The 25,312-nt window shown below is 36.1% G+C and overlaps 1 protein-coding gene across 46 annotated transcripts in view, besides 1 other annotated feature; it reads left to right on the forward strand.

Annotated features, from left to right (window-relative positions):
* Positions 1-25,312, forward strand: part of RPS6KC1 (ribosomal protein S6 kinase C1) — an 811,495-nt gene that overhangs the window by 108,035 nt on the left and 678,148 nt on the right. For 33 of the 46 annotated variants that reach the window (XR_007058661.1, NR_146210.2, NR_146207.2 and 30 more), the window contains 2 exons: positions 8,583-8,698; positions 17,125-17,217. Coding sequence is in view for 25 of the 46 variants with exons in the window: in XM_047417948.1 (XP_047273904.1) it covers positions 8,583-8,698; positions 17,125-17,217 (209 nt within the window). In the remaining 21 variants the exon portion in view is untranslated. The remainder of the gene's footprint in view (positions 1-8,582; positions 8,699-17,124; positions 17,218-25,312) is intronic. The other 13 variants (XR_007058662.1, XM_047417936.1, NM_001349654.2 and 10 more) reach the window with 1 other exon arrangement.
* Positions 16,965-17,642: an enhancer, noted in NCBI's record as "NANOG hESC enhancer chr1:213349583-213350260 (GRCh37/hg19 assembly coordinates)". NCBI's record gives its function as "activates a minimal SCP1, AML or CMV promoter by ChIP-STARR-seq in naive H9 embryonic stem cells {active_cell/tissue: H9 hESC(naive)}" and the evidence as "EXISTENCE:reporter gene assay evidence [ECO:0000049][PMID:30033119]".

Raw genomic sequence — 25,312 nt, forward strand, 5'->3', positions numbered from 1 at the left:
GTGTCAAATTTTATGTTGAGAGTTTCATGTTTTAATGACAAAAATGTTTACTGGAAATTATAGCTTGGAAAAGAGAGCCACTTTCCTGCTTCAGTAGAAAGCTAGGTAAAGCATTGATGTGGGGTAAAGTAGCTGTGGAGTTTTATATTCAGATTGTATGAACAGTAAACAGAGCATCTAAAATAACCACTTGCACGTTGCAACAAACACATCATCATTTGCTTAAAAAAGAGTTATAATTACAGTTGACGAAGCATGGACACCATAAAAAATGCATTAGTTTGGCTTGACACATTAATTACCTGTTTTTGCAGATGTTTTTATGTATTGTTGTATGAACAGTTTACAAAATAATTACAGGAAAGTCATATGGAAAATAAACTAAGTGGGTGGTTTCTCGTCTAAATATTTTCATTCATGTGAATCTGTGAGGCACAGCTGCTCTATAGCAAAAGCAGAGAGATAGATGAGGATTCTCGAAGTGTTTTTTATTAGTCGATCTCTCATCAGTATCACCACATTTTTATATCTGTAGCAATACAGTTTAAAAACATTTGAGAGGGCTGATTTATTCCCTGTGATTACTCAAAAATCTTTGATTCTGATCAGAAGAAATGTGGATATCTACGATTATTTTAAAGTAAACCAAATGAAACCCAAAAAACCCTAAATGAAAATCTATTATTTTAGTTCTGACAGGTTATTAGGCACCTTGAGAAAGAGTTAATCATTATTTTGTAATTACTTGAGTTATGCAGTTTTATATTACTTATAGCTTATTATATCTTTATAATTAAACTTTGTCATGTGTAAATTACACAGTTCAGCTTATTTGTTCTCTCTTATGAAGTATTAAAACTGTAAATCTGCCTTTTCTCAGAAGCATACTGTGTTGCCGTTAGTGTTCTCAAAATGGGTTTCATCTGAAAAATAGCCAGGTCATTATACAGAGATATTTTACCTTTACAAAATATTACGGAACACATCATTCAAAATTATAACTGTCAAACAATAAAAAGATAGCTTTGTAGACATCATTCTGTTTACACAGTGGTTTATAATTACTTAGAATATCTGTGCTGTATTTTCCTCATGTTATTACAATTTTTCATAAAATTAAATCAAAATATAGATTCTCCTTTTAGTCCAATCATGCATCTTTTGGAATATGTTCACCTGTATTCCTTTTGTTTGCATTTCAGCTACACGGATGATGAAGACCATAATTAAAGATACTTTCCCTGACATGCATTTTATGTAACTATTGTTTAAGTTAGAGAAAGGCACTAAGTTATAGAAAGAGGTAATTGAGACATCAGTAGGCATGAAGGTATTGTTATCAGACCTTATAATAGTGGTGGCAAGTCATATACAACATGGAATACTATGCAGCCATAAAAAAGGATGAGTTCATGTCCTTTGTAGGGACATGGATGAAGCTGGAAACATAATTCTGAGCAAACTATCGCAAGGACACAAAACCAAACACCACATATTCTCACTCATAGGTGAGAATTGAACAATGAGAACACTTGGACACAGGGTGGGGAACATCACACACTGGGGCCTGTCATGGGGTGGGGGGATGGGGGAGGGATAGCATTAGGAGAATATCTAACATAAATGACGAATTAATGGGTGCAGCAAACCAACATGGCACATGTATACATATGTAACAGATCTGCACATTGTGCACATGTACCCTAGAACTTAAAGTATAATAAAAAAAATAGTGGTGGCAAGTAATTTATATACTTATCCATTCATTTGTTTAACAAAATTTTATTGAAGGTCTTCTACATGTAATGTTCTATGACAGTGCTGAGATGACTATAAACATTGAGATGACCATGTGCCTGGAACATAGTAGATAACTCAGAAACTATTAGGCATCTTTTAAAGGGGATAGGAGGGGCAGGAATAAATGATAGAGAACATTTTCACTCTGGTAGTTTATATAAAGGAAGTTAATTGTTAGGGAGGATTTTCTCTGTTACTCTGAAATTGTTTTCAAATGTGATATAGTCTGAGAGTATTACTTGACTCATTCTTTTTTTTTTTTGGTGACAAAGTCTCGCTCTGTCACCCAGGGTGGAGTGCAGGGGCACCATCTTGGCTTACTGCAGCTTCTGCCTCCCAGGTTCAAATGATTCTCCTGCCTCAACCACCTGAGTAACTGGGATTACAGGTGTGCACCACCATGCCCAGCTAATTTTTGTATTTTTAATAGAGATGGGGTTTAACCATGTTGGCCAGGCTGGTCTTGAATTCCTGACCTCAAATGATCCACCTGCTTTGGCCTCCCAAAGTGCTGGGATTACAGGTGTGACCCACTGCACCTGCCCTCATTCTTTGAATCATTTAAATATGGAGATATATCTGTTTGTGTTAACAGCCATTTGAAAAAAGATGAAATGGAGTCTATTCTGATTCTGATGTATTAATACACTAAGTCAATTTAATTTTTATGGTAGAGATGCATTAAAGGAGTCTGAAACTTCATGGGTTGAGAATAATAAACTGCTTGTTATCAGTAATTGTCTTGATCACTTTAGATCATTTCAAAGGAAAAATATGGGAATTAATATCATGGCATCAAGAAAACAATTATTGGACTCTAGATTCTTCCGTAGATTTTCTACTTCTCTTAAGATGTGTGTCTCATGGCCAGTGAAAGAATGAGGAAAATCCTTTTTGGGGGTCAGGAGACTTTCCATGTTTACCAGATTAAAAACTCATAATTTATGTGGAGTTTCATTTCCAAATTTTCTCTGATGATATTTTTATTCCTTCTCATAAGGAAAAATTTTAGTTCCTTAGTTTTGGCTCTTTCTTTTTCGTTTGGTGTCTGTCATTAGATCTTTGTGATGTTTTAATCTTAATTTTTTATAAGCCATTTGACTTTAGAACATAAGAGAAACTTAAGGGACTGCTATCATTATTATTTGGACAAGAGTTTGGACTGCAAATAATTATTTGGACAAGAGTTTCTCATCACTAAGAGACTGGCCATTTTTATTGCCTGGCCAGTATCTCTCTCTGTTGCCCAGGCTGGAGTGCAGTGGTGCCATCACAGCTCATTGCAGCCTTGAACCCCTGGGCTCAAGCAATCTTCCCATCTCAGCCTCCCCAGTAGCTGGGACTACAGGTGTGTACCACCAGGCCTGGCGAATTAAAAAAAATTTTTTGTAAAGATGGGGTCCCACTATGTTGTCCCAGCTGGTCTCAAACTCCTGGGCTCAAGCCATCTTCCTGCCTCAGCCTCTCACAGTGCTGAGATTACAGGCGTGAGTCACCATACTTGGCCAGCAATGTTATTTTGAAGGGAGTAAATAAGTCTTTGGATTCTCTCTTTAAAATTGCATAACAAGGAAAAATAGGTTAGGGAGCAGAAAGAAATTGTTGAATCTAAGAACACTGTCTCTGTAGGTATTTAACACTCTATGATATAATGATGTATAATATTTGTTTTCAGTTAGTGTTACTGATAGCAGAAAAACTGCTAGACATTATTGAAAACAATCATAATTGAGGCATTGCCTGGGCATCAATATTATGACTTTTACTATTCTTTGGTGACTCTCTGAATTTCTAGGGTCACATGAAATTGGTTTTGAAAAAACATTAATAGGGGGTTGACTAAATGCAAATGGAAATCAGATTCCCTGACTGGTTCATGTTATACATGGAAAGACTGATGGCTTCAGAGTTGTGGTAGATGTGTAGAACTATAAATTACTGTTCTTCTCAAGGTTGCCTTTTGTTGTCAGAACACTTAGCATAAGGCAGAAATGGTAGGCTGTACCTGAAAAGAACAAAACACCATTAAACATAATAAATCAGCACTTAAAAAAAACTAACTGTAACTACCAAGGCCATCTCAAGTGTGAGTTTTCTTTTATGTGACTAAAGTTGTTAACAACAACAACAAAAAAGAAGGCAAAAAAGCAGCAACAAACAAAAACTCAAACCGAGTTTGATTTGGATGTTCTTTCTATTGTGATAAATCTGAATGAAATCAAGCATGCTTGACTAAGCACAGGGCCCATTGGGAGAGTATTTGTGGTGTAGAGAAATAAAGATAAGAATATAATAAAATGTGACTAAGTAGAGTCTTATGTGGGGATTAACTTCTGTGCATGTGGCAGAAATCAAATAGAGTCAAAATACTCTTAATAGCCCCTTAAAATTTCCCACGAAACACAGATATAGACATACTGTCTTTCAAGATGTTTAAATTGGCTTGTTCTTCCTCCAGCATGGCTTTTCTTTTGTTGAACAAATGATGAGGCTGTTAGTTATATTCTTTTTAGTGACTAAGAGTAGAATTGAAAGAACCGTTTTTTATTCTAGGTTGCGAAACTGAATTTTATTAGTTCCATGAGTAAAAATGCCTCTTGATTTTTTTTTTTTAAATGGGCAAATGAGAAAAGGCCATTGTTATCCAAATACATATTTGGGTAATAAAGATGTTCAAGAGACCAGTTTTTCTCAGAAAGACCTGTTCTCTTTTACATGGTATGACATATAACTCTTTGTAGCTCCAGTTTTCCTGTATGTTTGTCTGTTGTCTCTCCATTCTGATTCTGCTTTGCTTTGTTGCCTAACAGGCACCTTTCTCAAATTCTTATGTTTATTTCTCTGTATCTTTGTTTCCATACTCACCTGTACTTCTCCTGTGCTCTGTATTTTTCTTGTCCTACTCAGAAACAGTAGAATAATCAAATTCAAATTCAGTTATGGTACTTTATATTGAAAGGTAGCTTAGGATAGTGGCAAGTACCCTGAAGTATGGTGTAAGACATGGTTTAGGTTCAGGCTCTTATAGTAACTGTGTAACTGAGAAAGACATTTCACATTCCTCAGACTTAATTTTCTTATAAAAGAGAAGAGATATATTTCTTATAAATAGAATATGGTATAATGAAGGGTGCCAAGTGGTGATGGCTTCTTGGATAAGTTAGAATTTCTGGATTCCGTTATCTGTATACCGTGCCTTCTATAAACTTTTCTTAGTGACTGAAGTCAGAGATGGTGCACTGAGAAACACAGCATGGGTAATTGAGTGTTTCTGTAAATTTCATCAACAACTTTGGATTTTCTCCTCATATCTACTCAGCTACTCCCTATCAGAGATCACACACTATAATCACCCTGTATGATCAGAAATTGAGAAGGTGAAGAAACACAGGTTGTCACAATCCACATTAAGACATCTCTTATGATACACCAGAACTTTTTAACATAAAGGTTATTAAATAATGGGAACAATTTTTCTTTCTTTTTTTCTTTAAAGACAGAGTCTTGCTCTGTTCCCCAGGTTGGAGTGCAGTGGTTCATGCAGTGGCATGAGCGTGGCTCACCACAGCCATGATTTCCCAGGTTCATGTGATCCTCCTGCCTCAGCCTCCCAAGTAGCTGGAACCACAGGTGCGCACCAACACGCCTGGCTGACTTTTGTATTTTCAATAGAGACAGACATGGGATCTTGCTATGTTGCCCAGGCTTGTGTTGAACTCCTGGGATCAAGCAGTTCTCTCACCTTGGCCTCCCAAAGTGCTGGAATTGTAGGAGTGAGCCACAGCCTAGTTTTTCTTTTTTGAATGCCTAAGCCCACTGGAAATTCTTGCTGTAGCTGAATGATTAACAGATAATCATTGTGGACTGTGTGTGTGTATTTTAAAAGGGAGAACAAGAAATCAAGCAGGTTAGAGTTAATTAAACATTTTTTGGTCAATTAAAATCTGTTTAAAGTCACATTTGTCAATAATTTGACTAGTTAGAAATATCCTGGAAATCTATAGAGTCATCTTTTTTTTTTTCTGGTACTGACAAACCTGAATAAGCATTCAGGAGCAGAAATCTTCAAGAGATAGTTTTTATTCTTGGATGCTGCTGTTGATCAGCAGTGATTATGACCTCCTTTTAAGGGATTGATAAGGAAGGAACCGTAGTATTTATGTATAAGGTTACTTTTTTGAGTCTTGCTCTGTTGCCCGGGCTGGAGTGCAGTGGCATGATCTCAGCTCAGTGCAACCTCTGCCTCCCGGGTTCAAATGATTCTCCTGCCTCAGCCTCATGAGTAGCTGGTATTACAGGTGCCCGCCACCATGCCTGGCTAATTTTGTGTGTTTTTTTTGTTGTTGTTGTTGTTTTTGTTTTTTTTGAGATGGAGACTTGCACTGTCGCCCAGGCTGGAGTGCAGTGGCGCTATCTTGGCTCACTGCAAGCTCCGCCTTCCGGGTTCACACCATTCTCCTGCCTCAGCCTCTTGAGTAGCTGGGACTACAGGTTCCCACCACCACACCTGGCTAATTTTTTGTATTTTTAGTAGAGACGGGGTTTCACCATGTTAGCCAGGATGGTCTCGAACTCCTGACCTCGTGATCTGCCCACCTTGGCCTCCCAAAGTGCTGGGATTACAGGCGTGAGCCACCGCGCCCGGCCAGTTTTATGTTTTTAGTAGAGACTGGGTTTTGCTGTGTGGGCCAGGCTGGTCTCAAACTCCTGACCTCAGGTGATCCATCTGCCTCAGCCTCCCAAAGTGTTGGGATTATAGGCACGAGCCACCGCACCTGGCCTATATATAAGGCTACATTTAAAAAGCCTTTCAGTATTTCCATCACATCATTGTAGTTTCCTTGGAAGTGGAACCACCATATTCAGCAGGAGTCCATTTCAACTTCTGGCTTCTGGTTCTTGTTTCTGTTACTATGGAGACTGCCTAGAAAGTGGCAGAAAAACCAAAAGTTTAAAAAATAGTAATTTGATTATAAAATATGGCTTTAATTCTAGCTTTAACTAGTTGTTCCATATCTTGACATTTCGAATTCCAAATTATTTGGTGAGTTTTTTTTTTTTACGAAGCAAATTTTGAAACTTTATTAAAGCTTAAACACACTGAATTAAAAAGTAAATTGCCATAGTTTTTATTATATTTGAGCCTAAGGTGAATCAAAAATCTTAAATGGGGATTTAAATTAGGGCTTGGAAGGCATTATATAATCTGAAATGAGAAGAGCTAATGACAATGGAAATAGCAGACTCCAGACACAGTAAACCCTAAACCAAAGGACTAGTATTGTGTAGAAATAGCAAATAGATAGCTTTTATTATGTGGCATGTTTTATCTTCAAAGTATGTTATAGTTATTTAAGTGATTTTCACAGAATATACTCATTTTTCAACTGAGTAGAAAAGCCCTCTAAAACCTTGCCTTTAGGACGTAAGCAGATTGTAAGGGTAGAGGCAGAAGTACACTGACATTTTAATTGCGGGTTGAGGAGTTGGAGAGTTAATAAATAAATGTAGATGGTTCCACAGTTAAAAAGCAATAGAAATTTTCCCCCCACCAAGACCAGTTATATTTGTGAATTCCTCATGAAGGAGAGAAGAGGTGGAATAGTAATGTAAAAGGTGTGAAATGAAAGTTATTTAGCGAAATTGCAATCCCAACTTTGTTGCAGCTTTTCGTTGAGGTCCGTATTTAGTCAGGATTCTTTGGTTTGCATGTGCGGAAATCCAAATTCGGACTACCTCAGGGAAAGAAGGGCAGGAATGTAGCTTTGCCTGAAATCAGGGATGCCAGTTACATTAGAGGAAAGTAGGTTCACCTGAAAACACTGGGATTTCTTTCTATTTTTTCTTTTAAGTCTCGTATATCTGCTTTCTGAGTTAAGTTCGTTCTTTCACATTGGCCTTTTTTTGCATTGGCAGAAACCAGCTGTTGGCAGTTCCTACTCCTCTTATTTATAGCTCGAATAACAGAGACAGTCCAGTTTGTGTTGTGCCAATTCCTCCCTTCTTCAACTGTGGCCAGGAGGATAGGGTTCTATGATTGGCTCAGCTCCTGACTAGGGGGGCCCATCCTTGGCTAAATGGACCTTGGTGATTAGAGGGACTGATATCTGAAACAAGAAAGCAGCTTTCATTCAAACCACCTGGTTAGTGATGAGGGGAAGGGGTAGAAGAGTATGATGGGAAGAAGAAAGGGACATTTCCCAGAAGCAGAAGATGCTGTTCCAGGCAGAAATAAGAAGAGGGTTCTACTAGTAGTCTTTTGGGGGAAATTATCTCTTTATTATAATTCAGTTCACTTCAGTTCAGCAAACCAGGAAACATTGTTTTGTAGGATTTGGTTTTTAGAAAAAAACCAAGGTTGAAAACACACACACACACACACACACACACACACACACACACACACACACACACAACAGCTGTTGCATTTGGTCCTATTTGTTGAGTTGCTTAGTTGTATAATGTCTGGACTAGGGCTAGTCTTTTTGTCTTCAGAGCTTTTTACAAATAGACATTTCTTATATATTTGACTCCTACAAAAATACATCAAATTATCAATACATATTTAAATAGGAGAATGTTAGAATTTGGATAAATGAAATCAATGGGGGGTAATAGTTAGACTTGGTTGATACTAATAACTTTCATGTCTTTTCCAATTTTGAATATCTCTTCTTTTTTGTTAGAAATGTGAACAAGCAGTGTATTGGGTAGAAGGAAGTTAATTTTCAGGTTGAACTGAGGAAAATTTATTTTTTACATGTCCAGACTTTTTTTTTTAGGAGAGTCAAGCCCTACCCGTCGAGAAGCTGTGAAGAGAAGAACAGCCGAGTACCTCATGCGGGCAGAAAGTATCTCTAGTCTTTATGGGAAACCTCAGCTTGATGATGTATCTCAGGTATGTCTCATATTTTGTTGTGTGTTTTCTTCAGTGATTTTTTGCTGTCTGGTCTCTCTGCTTTATTTCTAATTAGAATGTTATAGGATTTTGATTTTTTGAATTTTATTAATGATTTTCATAAAGGTTGTTGGTAGAAAGAAATGCATTATAGCAAACCACCAAAAGTGGAATAAAATAAGACTTGCTTTCTCCTTTTCTTGGTCTTTTATTAGTTTCTTACTGTACCCTTAATCTCCTCATCTGTAGATTGACAGTAATTTATACTGTTATGATATCTATTTGTATTTGGACATTTTAAAGTTAGATTGTGATTCTTGTATAATTGTTCTCCAGTTTTATTGATTCATGTTAAAACTATTCATTTTAAGCCTAAGTTATACAAGTATATGCTATTGGTCACCTGGAATTATAAAAGCATAATTCTAGCAGAGATAGTTATGTTATTTGGGACTTCTGCTAGACTTGTCTAAAACGCAGATGAATACTGAAAACATTAGAAACATTGCAGGTTATTATTGTTTTTATGCTGTATCGACCTGGATTTGGCAAATTTCTGGAGGAAACTTTTCTGTTATTTTTTTTCTTTATATCAAATGCAATTTAAGAATTGTGTCTTCCGGAAATGGGAGAAAGGGTTTAGTTTCTTTTCTTTTCTTTTTTTTTTGAAACGGAGTCTCACTCTGTCCCCCAGACTGGAGTGCAGTGGCACGATCTAGGCTCACTGCAAGCTCCGCCTCCCGGGTTCACGCCATTCTCCTGCCTCAGCCTCCCAAGTAGCTGGGACTACAGGCACCCACCACATGCCCGGCTAACTTTTTTGTATTTTTAGTAGAGACAGGGTTTCACCATGTTAGCCAGGATGGTCTCGATCTCCTGACCTCATGATCTGCCCGCCTCAGCCTCCCAAATAGTTTATTTTCTTAATTGATCTAAGAGTCAGGCAGGCTTGTTCATATCCAGCTCTGCCACTTGAAGTCATAGAAGATTGGACAAGATACTTAATCCCACTTCTGCATGTCAGTTTCTATATCTGAATAATGAGAATATAGTAATTTTTTGCTGGGTAGTTACTAGGATTAAATGAAGTAAAAAAAAAAATTTCTGTGGATTACACATATACACATAAATCAAGTGCCTCTCTAGCATGAAGATCAGCCCATAAGCCAAAGACTAAGTTTTAGCCTCATTCTTCATTTCCCCTTCATATACCGGCTTATATACTTTTTCCTACACATTTTTATGCTTTGTATGCTTTTTGAAAATGATAAGATAGCAGTTGTCAAAACTGTACTAATCAGTGTAAGACATTCTGAGAATTTCTGATGTTAAGTGTTTGACCATTTCTTATAAAACAAAAAGATTGTGTTTCAACTTGCAAGCCATATATACTTATGTTGCTCTAACATAATCTAACATAATGATTGTGTTTTAAATGACATTATTCTGCTGATTGATTTTCAGATTGTGAATTACTGCGACTCTTTTAGTCTGTATTCTGTTTGCTAATCTTATCCTATTCTCTATCATTGTTCTTTTAATTATATTAAATTTATTTCCTTTACTTTTTCACCATTGAATTTTATCTTTTTAAGTGGAATATTTATGTAAACATTACTTTGATTCAATTCCCATTTTCCGTGGGATTGACAACCTTCCTCGTGTGCAGTACTAATGTGTATATACTCAATTTCATTTTGGGGGGGCATTGATGAAAGCATTAACATAATTCCCTGTGAACTTGCTTTACTAAATCCATCTTGTATATAAATATTGTAAAAGTTTTTTTAAATTTTTAAATTTTTAAGTTTTTTTTTTTTTTTTTTGAGATGGAGTCTCGCTCTGTCACCCAGGCTGGAGTGCAGTGGCGCGATCTCAGCTCACTGTAACCTCCGCTTCCCGGGTTCAGGCGATTCTCCTGCCTCAGCCTCCCGAGTAGCTGGGACTACAGGCGCATGCCACTATGCCTGGCTAATTTTTGTATTTTTAGTAGAGATGGGGTTTCGCCATGTTGGCTAGGCTGGTCTTGAACTCCTGACCTCAGGTGATCCACCCACTTTTGCCTCGCAAAGTGCTTGTGATTACAGGCATGAGTCACCACGCCTGGCCAGTATTCTAAAAGTTTTAGGGATTTAAAATTACCAGTATTCTATTCATTCTTATAACATTAAATTTGAATGGTTTACCTATACTTATTCATGTAATCCTCCTACTTTTGCATCCCTGTTAGTTTCCTATAGGCATATCTATGAAGCAATAATTTCTTAGGTAAATAAGTATGTTGAGCCTCCTGTATAGTTTTAACTAGAAGAATAGAACCATGAAGTATATCAGTCAGAATTTCTTCAAGTATAACTTCTAATGAGAATAAAACAGAAGAGATCTAATATAGGAAAGCTGATTACATTTGATTATACAGTAATTCATTAAGCATCTTTTAAGACTGTATATAGAATCAAACTAGATATACTTTGGAGTTATACAAAAGATGATGACACAGCCTGCTCTTGCAAATCCTGTAGCATAGTTGAGGACCTGTATATGTACATAGTTGAGCAAACAAAGTTACACTGGTAAGAGCCATCCTAATGGGAAATTCTATCAGAAAGGATAAAAAGGAGTGCCTTCTGAATCTGATTTGACATGTAGGATTTTTTCGGTTCTTAGGCAAGGAGGCTAGAGGAGAGTAGGCACAGTATTTTTCTTTTATGGTAAACATTTGCTTTTTAAATTTTCCTTTTGTATGTTATTTTGTTAAGCCTGGCCCTTTTTGGCCAAGAGCATCCTTGATTATTTTCTCATGTATAATTTAAGTTAAAAGTCTTCCAGAGGATTGTGATTAGCTTGGTGCATTTATTATTTCACTTCTTTAACCATCTTTGGGTCTGAATTTCAACCAACACAATGAGAGGATTTGTGTAAATGATTTCTAAGGCCCCTTTAGCTCAAATTTGGTGCAAAGCAGATATTATTTCTCTCTGGAATCAGTGTGCAAACATTTCTTTCTAGCCTGGTTGATTAAGACAATAAAGGAACCCTTTTTGGCTTTTTAAATTTTTGTTAATTATTGTTTTCTCCTTTGGTACAGTCTATCATGACTTCTTCCACCCAGGTTTTCTGTGATGTTTTAAGTGTTTGTATTGAACTTTAGAGATCTTTATATAATAAATATAAAAGTTCTAAGTTTCCCAGTCATTCATGTTAATATCCTTTTTGCAAAAGCACAGAAAGGAAAAAAAGCACTCTCTTACTCTTTTTCTTCATTGCTTCATTACTAAAAGGCTCCAAGAAAATTTAGGAGCAGGTTTCACATAAAAAGGAAATGAGGTTTTTTTTAAAGTAAAGGTTGAATCTTAACTGAAGGAGACAGATTTCTTTCTTTTTTTTTTTTCAAATAAATCCTAGACAACGTTGAATGATTTAAGAATTAATGTTGAAAGAAGCTTTCCCTGGAAAAGATTTAGAATAGTTTTTTTGCTTTTTTTAGCTATAGGAATTTGAAACTAAAGATCAAATTTAGAAAAAGACAATAAATGATCTAAATTTAGCACATAAAATATTTGTGTAGTTTCTAAAGTGTGAATATGTTTTTATGCAGTTACAAGGTGTGAATGAAAATTAATATGTAGAATGTGTGCCTTTCCTGAATATTTGTAGATTTTGAGTACAACTGATATAATATTGCAAGTATTTTTCTATTGTGCATTTTGTTTACTTGTATTATTAATTGATATTATTCCATTATTCCTTAGAAAATATTTTAAATTTGCCCTCAGTGAGACATTTGCTTAAGTCAGTAATAGGTCTGCAATTTAGTGTCAGGCTTGAAATGTGACCTAGTGCGGCTCAGGAGACGGGGTATTAGGGTTGGTAGATTGCCCGTGAAAGTCTTTGCAAAGCCAAAAATTCATGGATGAAGCCAAATTCAGGAGCTTTGTCATAATTAGACAGTAGAGTTCAGAGTGTGGTTTCTTGATACATTCTTTGTGGTGCTTTCCTTTTGCCCTTGATTGCTTGTTTTCCCGCAGTAATGGTTACTCTCTCTCAGGTTATTTGAGGAGTAAGTAACCGTATTCTAAATGTGGTTGGTGAAACAGCAGCATCAGCATCACCTGAGAGCTAGGTGGAAATGCAGAATATCAGACCTACTGAATCAGTATCTTCTTTTTAACAAGATCATCAGGTGGTGCACATAAAATTTAAGAAGTACTGCACCAACAGATTGGGAAGAATAGAGAGAGAGATCTCACTGAGAACAGGAAATAATATCAAGTGAAAAAGACAGTGGGCAGGCTGAACACCAACTTCAAAAACAAATCCCCAAACAGAAACAAAGCCTTTTAAAGAATGTACAACAGGCCTGTAATCCCAGCACTTTGGAAGGCTGAGGCAGGTGGATCACTTGAGGCCAGGCGTTCGAGACCAGCCTGGCCAACATGGTGAAACTGCATCTCTACTAAAAATACAAAAAATAAAAAAATAAAAAAATTAGCCAGGTGTGGTGGCACATGCCAGTAACCCCAGCTACTCAGGAGGCTGAGGCACAAGGTTATCGTTTGAGCCTGGGAGATCGAGCTTGCAGTGAGCCGAGATCGTGTCACTGCACTCCAGCCTTGGTGACAGAGCGAGAACAACAATAGTAAGTAGGTTTTAACTAGTGTGCCAATTCTAATCCATGCGTAGTGGCTGCCAAGAGCATTGTATTGAGAAGAGTTGTGAGACTGTGGGATTAACAGAGATGCCTGCCGTGGACTTGACCAGTTGAGTGATATGTACTTGCCACCTCTGCTTTTGAAGATTGTTGGGTCATCATGTACTCCTGCCTCTCTTCCCTTGTCTTTAGTCCTGGTATAGATGAATACAACCATTCTTTGCCTCTCTTAGCATCTTCTGCTATAATTGCTAATAAATGTAAGTGAAAATCTTACTTTTCCATCAAGGAACTCAATCATATTACCTAGAAATACATTGCTTCTCCCGTCGCGCTTCATAGCGCAATGGGCCAAGTTTCCCCTAACAACATTCTATTATTTCATAAGTAAGATTTAATCCCCTCTTATCTATTACCTACTTTTGCTAACCTTGCTGCGTCTCAGTTTTCTCATCTAAAAAAAAAAGTTGGACTTGATCTCTAAGGTCTCTTTCTGCTCTTAAAATTCTGTGGATTTGTATGTCCTTTTGCCATCTGAAGAAAGGAGTAGATCTATAGGATTCTACCCAATTTAAGCACTACATATGAGAAATACAATTTTTTTATTGATGATTTTATTTCATGGTCTTTCTTTGTTCGTTTCTGTGATCTCAAACTTTTATAGATGGTTAAAGTAAAAAGAGAACTTTAATGATCACTTTGCCTTTGGTCATTTGTCCTTCAATTTCCCCATTCCTGTCTTTGCAAGAGTAACCTTACTAAATCACTGTTTTCATTGGGTTATTTCTCATAGAAAGACTTGTTGTCTAGACTTCGGAGACTGTATAGTCAAGACTTTTCTTCTCGGCATTCAAGGCCTGTGAAAACTGACCCTAAGTATATAATTTTATTTTCCTCTGTTCTCCAATTTGAACAACTTTTCCCCAACAGGCTAATGCTTTCCAATTGTATACAGTATAGAATAACTTTTTCCTAATCTAATTTCCACATAACATTTAAAATCACCTTTAGTCCCACATCTTTCTGAGACCACAGTTTTTCATACACTAATGATGTATCTATGTAGTCCCGTATTTTTAAGAGAGTGTTTTATTGTTATTTAACTGTTCATGTATTTGTCTTATCTTCTCAAATGGTGAACTTCTTGAGGTTAGACTGAGCCTTTTGATAATTTATAGCCCTTTCAGTTATCATGCACATAGTGGGTGCACAGTAATTATTTGTTGAAAGATGCAATAGAGATTTCATAGTTTGCTTTCTTTGCTCTTTAAATTGCCAAAGTGAACAAATAACTTTCTTTGGAAACTGAAAGAAACAGTGACATCTGTGAATAAGGAGGTATAAATAGGAGATAGGGATGTTGGAGATACTTGGCCATATTTTCTAAGACAAATGTAATGGATTAAATATCATTTAAAGTATTCTTTTTTCCCTCCTTATGACTTTTCCTTAGCATTCCTTTTGCCAAAATCACAAGCAGTTCTTACTTGTTCTTGTAGCAAGAGGCAGCAGCAGAAAAGAATTTTTAATTTTCAGAATGTGTTGGTTAGTAAAAGGATTGCAAGCTTTAGAATAGTAGTTGGAGTTCTTCCACTGTCTCTCTTCCTGACCACAGACAAACACTCCAGCATTCTGAGAATCCCTTTATTCATCTGTAAAATGGGAATTATATAATACCAACTTCCTGTAAGTACATCACCTGGTATGGGGTGAAGAATAGAGATGAAACAATATAAATGAAGATAGAAAAGACTGTTTCTACTGGCCGGGTGTGCTGGCTTATGCCTTCAGTCCCAGCACTTTCGGAGGACGAGGTGGGTGGATCACCTGAGGTCAGGAGTTCGAAACCAGCCTCGCCAACATGATGAAACTCCGTCTCTACTAAGAATACAGAAATTAGCTGGGCATGGTGGTAGGCGCCTATAATCCCAGCTACTCAGGAGGCTGAGGCAGGAGAATTGCTTGAACCCGGGAGGCAGAGGTTGCAGTGAGCCAAGATTGAGCCGCTGCACTCCAGCCTGGGCGACAAGAGCGAAACTCCATCTCAAAAAAAAAAAAAAAAAAAAAAGAGGTTATTGCTATTACATGTCTGTTTACATATTATAACACTAAAATATCTTGCTAAATGTTTTTATATCCCTAAAAAGGTTCCCCTTAGTTTTTAAGCTTATAGGGAGGCAGAAATATATCCGTTTTTTTTATGGTACCTAGCTCAGCACCTCATGAATTGAGACATTAAATAAATATTTTTGAAATGTATCTAAGAAGCATAAATTAAATCAATTTAAAGGTTATTATCTAGTCTAATTGTCACTATCACCAACTTTCTCAAGCATCTTTAGAAATAAAAAGTCTCTTTTAAAACTTAAACATCATTTCAGGTACAGTTAAATTATTATTTGCTTGCTAAATCTGAAAACAAAACAAAAAAATTGAAAAGAATTAGAATTGCTGCTTTTAGAAAAATTCACAAATGGTAGTTTTCCCAGTTGTAAATGACACCTAATTTTCCAAGTAACCTCCCTCCCTAGATTCCCTCCTTTCTCTCTCCTCTCCTCATTTCTGCTCTCCCTCACATTTTCCAACTAACTAAATACTAGCAATATGCTAGGCACTGTGAATATAGACATGACTAAGGCACATTTCTATTCTCAAGGAGCTGCCTGTCTGGTGATGTTGGTCTGTACAGGAACTTCAAGTATCAAAAATGGTATCTCAATAATTCCCTTACCATGGTGTTTGATCAGGATATTTTATCTTCCATTCATAGGGTCAGAATGTTTCCGCTGTATTCTAATAGATTTTTGATAGCAATAAGGTCTGCTCTAAGTAAGTAATAAGGCTTTGTGTCTCCTGTTGTCCTTTGCAGCATCACCATTTTAATACAGGATCAATGTAGCAGTACTTTATAGTTGTAAATGTCGTATGGAGGTGCCCTTAGAATTTATCTAATTTAATGGCTTATATTACTGATAGGGAAAAACTAAAACTAATAAATGGAAGTTGGGATTATTTTAAAATTGTGTGCAGAATTTAAATCTTCCTTCCTATGTTCACTGATTTTTTAAATCTTTTTTGTAGCTAACAGACTGTTTTCCACATCACAGATATTCAAATATTTGAAGAAAAATTTCTTTCTCTTACAAATCATCTCTTAAACAGGCTCAGTTTTAGTAATTATTGGTTATATGATGAAGCTTCTTAATTTTTCACAATTATTGGTAATTTTTCTGGTTGAATTTGAATGGACCAGTCCCTCTGAAAACACATAATACATAAAGTAACAATTATAGAACTGTAGCTTTATGATGAGAGAGAATGGCTTGTGCCCCTCCCTCCCCATGTGTGCTTATTATTATATTGTTTTTTAGTTCCCCCACTTCCAAATTACTCTTGAGGTGTCTGGGTTAAATATAAGACTGGGATTGATTGTTGGCCCAGTTATCCATTTGTTACAAAGTTTTATGATAGCTGTATGGTCTGAATTGAATTATTGCTCTAGAAACTGCCAGCTCATTAATTTTTCTTTTTAAAATTTTTTCAATGTTATGATTTATTTACTTGCAACTTTTTTCTTGCTTTTTCTTTTTGATTTTCTTTAGTTTTTATTTTTAAAAATTTTATATTACAGACAAACAGAAACTTCTTCCTTTCATCTTTCCATTCTCTGATTTATGATGAATTTACTTTCCTTTGGCCTGGCATTTGCTTCAGCAGGCAGCCTTCCTTCAAGTACCTCCCTGATTGATGTATAATCTTTGATATCTTCCATTAGCCTCCAGGATCACTAAGTTCAAGGCCCCTTTGGAACCTAAGGAGCCCTGCCGAGGAGCTGAAGGCCTTCAGAGTCCTTGGGGTGATTGACAAGGTAATTCTTCAGTGTCTCTTCAAGAGTTCAGTCATAAATCGACTGCATGCTGACATTCTGTCTTTGAAGCTTTGGATCTTAAGGATATGAAACAAAAGGAGAAAATGACTCAAATGCATGTGCACTTTACAATAACAAAAGCAAAAGAGAAAAAGCTTTTATCTGAGCAATTCATGTAAGGTCATGCAAAATATATTTGAGCTAAAGGAGAAGGCGCATATTTGTTGGCATTCAGTTGAGTAAGGGGTTTGGTTTTATAGAAGTGTTATAGCAGAGTAAAGATGTATTGTGTTAATAACAATTGTGAGCCAGTAGTTGTTCAACATTAATTAATACGGTCATTGTAATGGTCAAAAAAGTGGAATCCCCTTGTAATTACCATTTACTGAGCACCTACTATATGTCGGACCCTATGTTAGGCATTTTATATGATACAATCTTTCTTACAATTGTATTTGCATCTTGGTGGAAAAGTGATGTTTAGAGCAGATTAAATAACTTGGCCCAAAGTCACATAGCTAATTTAGGATGGTGCTGGGATTTGAACATTACTTTTTTTGACTCAAAAGCTGTACTTTTTCTAGTACACTAACCCCTCACTTCACACCCACATGCATTTTAATTTTAGGGGTAAAAATACTGGCCTCACAGAGTTATCTGCCATTGTGTATGTGCAAATTTGGTGACATCTCACGCCAAATATTAACAGTACTGTTCCTATCAGATGGTTTACAAGTGTAATTTAAAAGCCACAGACAACAAACCATGTTTTAAGTATATTTGCTCAACCACCGCTTTACCATTCAAAGTAAATAAAATGCTTTATTTAATATTAAGGGATAGGTTAATTTAGATATTTTTTCACCATTAACCATTTTTTATGAAGCACCTTAATGTTCATTTTTAACTTACTATACATTATTTGTGAAGTATGCGTGTGATTCCATCCTAAAATTGAGCAATATGTAGTATTCTCTAGCAATTTAGACAGTAAAAGTTTGAAGCATTCCAAAGGGAACATTAAGTTGGATATTACATAAAGCTGTCGGTGTCTTAAGTTCTGGCAAGGATCATTTTTCTCAAATTCATATTACTGAATTTTGAACTTAAAAAATTCTAAGTAGTAGGATTTTTCTTTTTTTAAGAGCCTGAAATATTTTCATAACCGTGTTTTCTGTGGCTTTTCCAGTTTGGAAAACATTCAGTTTGAGAGTAGATGAAGACAATATAGTAATTGAGTAGTTTCTAGGTTCTCAGATTTCTTTGCAGGCAAGTATACCTTCTTGAGGTACAGTGTCTGCCCCCTCTCTTAGATCTATTTCTTTGACAAAGTATGGCCTTTCATTGCTATGCTATAAGTGTGAGTAAGTTACCTTGAAGTCCTAGTAATAGCTAGTAGTCTCACAGGTTTGTTTAAATAAGGGCTTTTGGCTGGGTGCTGTAGTTTGCACCTGTAATCCCAGCACTTTGGGAGGCCGAGGTGGGCAGATCACTTGAGCCTAGGAGTTTGAGACTATCTGGGCAACATGGTGAGACCCTGCGTCTACAAAAAAAGAAAAAGCTGGGCATGTAGTCCCAGCTGCTCGGGAGGCTGAGGGGAAAGGATCCCCTGAGCCTGGGGAGTTTGAGGCTGCCGTGAGCCGTGGTCATGCCTCTGCACTCCAGCCTGGGTGACAGAGTGAGACTCTGTCTCAAAATAAATAAATAAATAAATAAATAAATAAATAAATAAATAAATATCAAGTCTTTAAAAAAAAAGGAAAAATGCTGGGTGTGGTGGCTCATGCCTGTAATCTCAGCACTCTGGGAGGCCGAGGCCAGTGGATCACTTGAGACCAGGAGTTCGAGACCAGCCTGGGCAACATGGTGAAACCCCGTCTCTACCAAAAATACAAAAAATTACCTGGGCATGGTGGCACACACCTGTAATCTCAGCTCCTCTGGAGGCTGAGGCAGGAGAATCACTTGAACCTGGGAGGCAGAGGTTACAATGAGCCGAGATTGTGCCACTGTACTGCAGCCTGGGCGACAGACTGAGACTCTGTCTCAAAAAAACAAACAAACAAACAAAAAAAAACACAACAAAACAGGAAAGAAAGAAAGAAAATAGAAGGACTTTTGACAGTAGAAGAATTCCTAAGTTCTGCTGAGGGATAATTTGGTACTGTCTTTACTTACTCTGTTTAGCTGGGAAAAATGTTTGGTGTTTAGAAGGTGACATTTAACTTTTTTTTTTTTAATTGACAGAATCTCATTCTGTTGCCCAGGCTGGAGTGCAATGGCACAATCTTGGCTCACTGCAGCCTCCGCCTCGTGGGTTCAAACAATTCTTCTGTCTCAGCCTCCTGAGTAGCTGGGATTTATAGGCACACACCACCATGCCTGGCTAATAGTTTTTTGTATTTTTAGTAGAGACAGGGTTGCACCATGTTGGCCAGGCTGGTTTCGAACTCCTGACCTCAGATGATCCACTCGCCTCGGCCTCTGAAAGTGCTGGGATTACAGGTGTGAGCCATGGTGCCTGGCCTAACTTTTCTTAGTAGAGATAAGGGAATATGTATTTGGGGAATTAAGAAGCTTTGGGAATTAATAAGTCTTTAAAATTTATAACATATTCCTGTGAAAACATAAGTAGGTATAGGCCGGGAGCTGTGGCTCATGCCTGTAATCCCAGCACTTTGGGAGGCCGAGGCGGGCAGATCACCTGAGGTCAGGAGTTCAAGACTAGCCTAGCCAATATGGGGAAACCCCATCTCTACTAGAAATACAGAAATTAGCTGGGCATTGCGGTGGGCGCCTGTAATCCCAGCTACTCGGGAGGCTGAGGCAGGAGAATTGTGTGAACCCGGGAGGTGGAGGTTGCAGCGAGCCAAGATTGCACCACTGCATTCCAGCCTGGGCAACAGAGCCAGACCCTGTCTCAAAAAAAAGAGGAAAAAAAAAAAAAGCAGGTACATTTTTTGAAAGTTGAACTGTTTTTTAAAGATAAGTTACTTTCTGTTGTACTGAGGACTACCTAAAATTTGGGTTTTAGAAACTTGAAGTATGGAAAATAAATGTTGAATAAATTCAAAAGGTTAGAAAATAGCCAGGATATATTGATCTAGTCCTACAGAACACAGTTTCTTTGATTCTGTTTCATTACAGTATTTGGTTTTTATGAGTTATTTTGAGTGCTATCTATTAACCTAGGAAAAATACAGTTCTGAATTGAACTGCATTAGGATTAGGATTTCACAAACTTTTATGTAGAAAAAAATAAAGCAGATTTTTTATTAATATCTAGACTGTAAGCTCTGTGAAAACAAAATTGTGTCTTTCTTGGTCACCACTATGTTCTCAGTACCTAGAATCGCTTGGCACATAATGGGTGCTCAATAAATATTTGTTGAATAAATGAATTGAAACTTAATTAATTTTAAATATATATAGAATGACATCTACTGGTACAATATGAGACTGCTACCTGGTACGATTGTATGAGGTGACAACTCAGAAAGTGTTTACCCAGAGGGATAGTAATTCCATAGCTGTATGTTGATTTAGTATTCAAAGAGAAGTAAATGACTTTCTGTTCTTCAATTGGGATTATAAAATCCCTCATTAACATAGATATGCAAAAATTGTATATGAAGAATAGCCAGAAAACAAGGAAATGTTTAACCTGATTAAAAAAAAATGTGTAGTCTTCAAATAGTTGAGGGCTGTCTTGAATAGGGGAACTGTATAATGTTTTCTCTAATCTTGAGGGTGAAAAGGGCTATTAATTGTGTCAGAACAACAAGTGCAAACTAAAATCATCTCAGTTAAACCAGGAAGTCTGGTTTCTCTGTGAAAAAGGTAGTTAGGGAAGAGACTTGCATGCTAATATCCTCATAGGATATAACTAGAACCAAATTAGTACAAATTCAAGAGAAACAAATTATTGCTCATGATAAGAAATACCTTTTGAGAATTAGCATATTGACCAAAGGTGTGCTAGATTCCTTTAGATCTTAAGAGTTTCTTGTCATTTGAGACATTCAAGTGAAGGCTGAAAGATTGATCATTGGGATGCTATAGAATGAACTGGATGGAATTTTACATTAGATAACTTTTAATTATTTCTTTGATCCTGCAGGTTTATTTACATAGTCTTTGTGTAGCAATAGCAGGGGAGAGAAGAAATTAGCGGAAAAAAAACTCTGATGGGATGAGGAGGATGCATTACTATTATTTTAATATAAGTTTTTATAGACATGGGTGCAATTCTTTTTGTTGTATTTGTGTGGTACGAATATACGGGATGTGCTTATATTTGTATGTGTATAAAGATTGTTTATATATGGTAATTTGTAATTGGGTTAGAAGAGTCTAGATTGGTAGTTTGGTAGTAGAATGCCCAAGTGCTAAGAGAGTTTCTGAGAAAGATCACTGTTGTATAACTTCTCTATAAAAAGTATAAAGGAGCCCATAGTTTAGTATACAGTAACGTACCAATGTTACTTTCCTGGTTTTGATATTGAATTAGAACTATATAAGGTGTCACCACTGGGGGAAGCTGGGTGAAGGGTACATGAGACTCTTTGTACTGCAGCCTCCTGTGAGTTAAAACAAGAAAAGGGTAAGGGGAACATTGATGACTTGAAACCCAGAGTATACTAAGATTTGATTCCCTCATGGCCAGTTAACTCTTCTGGTTTGTGAGTAGCCTGAGTCATTCTGTGTGTACATGTGTGTATGGTATTCACAAGGAAGATCGGTGAAGATCGTATATCTGGATCGCCCAAATTTATTGTCACTGAAAAACAACTTAAATATGCTTTGCAAGTCATCGTTATAAGAGATGCCACACACTTTGTAAGTCTATGACTATTTACTAGGTCAGATGCCTTCACATTTTGTAATCAAGATAGCTTCCCAACTTTATCTGATGCCTGCCAGGCAGAATTCTTAAGTTGACTTGCCATTGGAAAAATGTAGGCATTTCTATTCTGTAGCTAAAATATAATTGAGAAAATGTGTGGAAATTGCTCAAATTGAGTAGCTGTTGAAAAACTGGTACTTATTTTTTAAGGTACCTAAGTAATATCTTCTCTGATAATATGTGGAAAAACATGTATTTGGAACACAGAAGCATCAATATTCAGGTATTTGCTCATTAAGGGAACACTGGATTGAACTGGATTAAATCAAAAGGACATAGCACAACATTTTTTAAGTGCTAAAAGGAAAGAACTATCAACCAGAATTCTATATCCTGTGAAAATACCTTTCAAGAGTTAAGGGAAAATAAAGGTATTCTCAGATGAAGAAATGCAAAGAGAATTTGTTGCTGACCAGCCTACCCTAAAAGAATAAAGTGCATTCTCTAAACAAAGTGGAAACAATACATGCAAGAATCTTGTCACGTTAGGAAGAAAGAAAGAACATTGGAGAGGGTAAAATACAAGTAAATACAATGGACTTTCTTTCTCTTTAGTTTTGGAAATTATCTTTTATGGTTGAAGCAAAAATTCTAACACTCTCTGATGTAGTTCTAAGTTTATGCAGAGAAAATATTTAAGGCAATTATAAATGAGGGAGAGTAAAGGGACATAAAGGAAGGTAAAGTTTTTATGCTTAGCTTGAAATGGTAAAATGATGACACCAGTAGTTTGCATGAGTTATGTATATATAATATAACTAGAGCAACCACTAAAAAGCTTTTTAAAGTATACACTAAAAAATGCTATATAGGTTGGGTGCAGTGGCTCACATCTGTAATTCCAGCACTTTGGGAAACTGAGGTGGGTGGATCACCTGAGGTCAGGAATTTGAGACCAGCCTGGCCAACATGGTGAAAACCTGTCTCTACTAAAAATACAAAAATTAACCAGCATGGTGGTGCACGACTGTAGTCCCAGCTACTCAGGAGGCTGAGGCATGAGAATCGCTTAAATCTGGGAGGCAAAGGTTATAGTGAAATGAGATCATGCCACCGCACTCCAGCCTGAGCAACAGAGTGAGACTCCATCTCAAACAAACAAAAAATACTGTAGATAAACCAAAATGGAATTCTAAAAAATGTTCAAATAACCCACAAAAATTCAGGAAAATGGAAACAGAGAGAACAAACAGAACGCAAAATATAACATGCAAACTTAAGCCCTAACACATTATAAATATACCAGTTAAAAAAACAGAGATTGATATTGGTTTAAAGATATGACCCAACTTTATGGTGTTTATAAGAAACTCACTTCAAACATAATATAATGAGATATATATATGATATATATACATATATCATGATACATATATATCGATATATATGATATATATATTTTATATATCACATGTTTGAAGTGAGTTTCTTATATATCATGATTTATATATCATGATATATATGTATATATATCATATATGATGCATATATATGACGTATATATCATATATATATCATGATATATATCATGTTTGAAGTTTCTTATATATCATGATATATATATATGTAAAAAGTAAAAGGATGGAAATGACATGTCATGCAAACATTAAAGAAAACAGGAGTGGCTATATTAATACAAGATAAAATATGCTTCATACCAAAGAAAATTATGAGAGACAGAGAGGACATTAGATAATGATAAAAGGACAATCTACCAAGAAGAAATAGCAATCCTACAAATGTATATACCAGACATCAGAACTGTAAAATATATGAAGCAAAAGCTGATAGAAAGTGAAAGGAGAAATAGGCAGTTACAGGTGGAGACTTCAACTGTCTCAAAAACTGATAAAACGGTTAGACAGAAAATCAGCAACAATACAGAAGAACTCCATAATACCATCAACCAACAAAATGTAACTGACTTTTATAGAACACTCTACCTAAGAACAGCAGACTACACATTCTTTTGCAGTGCCCATGGAACAGACCATTTCTAGGGCCGAAAAACCTCAACAAATTTGGAAGTATTGAAATCATACTGAGTGTGTTCTCTGACCATGTCTGAATCAAATTATTAATCAGTAACAGAAAGATAACAGGAAACTCGCCAAATACCTAGAAACAAACAGTTATACTACTAAGTAATTCATGGGTTGAAGAAGAATCTCAAAGGGTATTAAAAAAAAATGCATATAGTTGAATGAAAACAAAAGCAGAACATACCAGAATTTATGGGACACAGCTAAGCCAGTGTTCAGAGAGAAACTTATAACACTAAATGATTATATCAGAAAACAGGAACAGTCAAATCTAGGTTCCTAACTCAAAAGAACTAGAAAAAGAACAAAATAAACCTAAAGCAAGCAGGAGGAATGTAAAGAGCAGGAAGCAATGAAATTGAAAATAAAAAACCGTAGACAAAAATTTTTGCGTAAAGCTGGTTCTTTTCAAAGATCAATAAAATTGATAAACCTCTAACAAGAGAGACAAAAAAGAGAATACACCAATTATTACTGTCAGGAATGAAACAGGTATGGATCTTGCCTACATCAAAAGGATAACAAGGGAATACTACAAACAGCCCTACACATGTAAATTTGATAATTTAGATGGAATGGACCAATTCATAGAAAAGTACGAATTACCACCCAAAATAAATAGATAATTTGAATGGCTCTTTAACTATTAAGGGAACTGAATTTATAATTAAAATACTACTAAGATGAAATCTTGAGGCTCAAATAGTTTCACCAGAGAATTCTACCATACTTTTAGAGTCAACACCAGTTTTACACATTTTCTTCCTGAAAATGGAAGAAAGAGAAACAGTTTCCAGTTCATTTTATGAGACCAGTATTACTCTGATATCAAGACATTAGAAGAAAGAAAACTATAGACCAATATTCTCATAAGTGTAGGTATAGAAACCTTCAACAAAATATTAGAAAATAGCAACAAAATCTAAAATTAATTCTATACCATGAATTTATTATTTAAATTCATTTAAATTCATTAATTTCATTAAATTCATATTTATCTTTTCAAGAAAACCAACTTTTCATTTCATTGATCTTGTATTTTTTTTTTGCCTCAATTTGATTTATTTCCCCTCTGATCTTTATTTTCTTCTACAAATTTGAGGTTTGGTTTGTTCTTACTTTCTAGATCCTTGAAGTACATCATTAA

Source organism: Homo sapiens, chromosome 1, assembly GCF_000001405.40.
Source record: "Homo sapiens chromosome 1, GRCh38.p14 Primary Assembly".
Classification (NCBI taxonomy): Eukaryota; Metazoa; Chordata; class Mammalia; order Primates; family Hominidae; genus Homo; species Homo sapiens.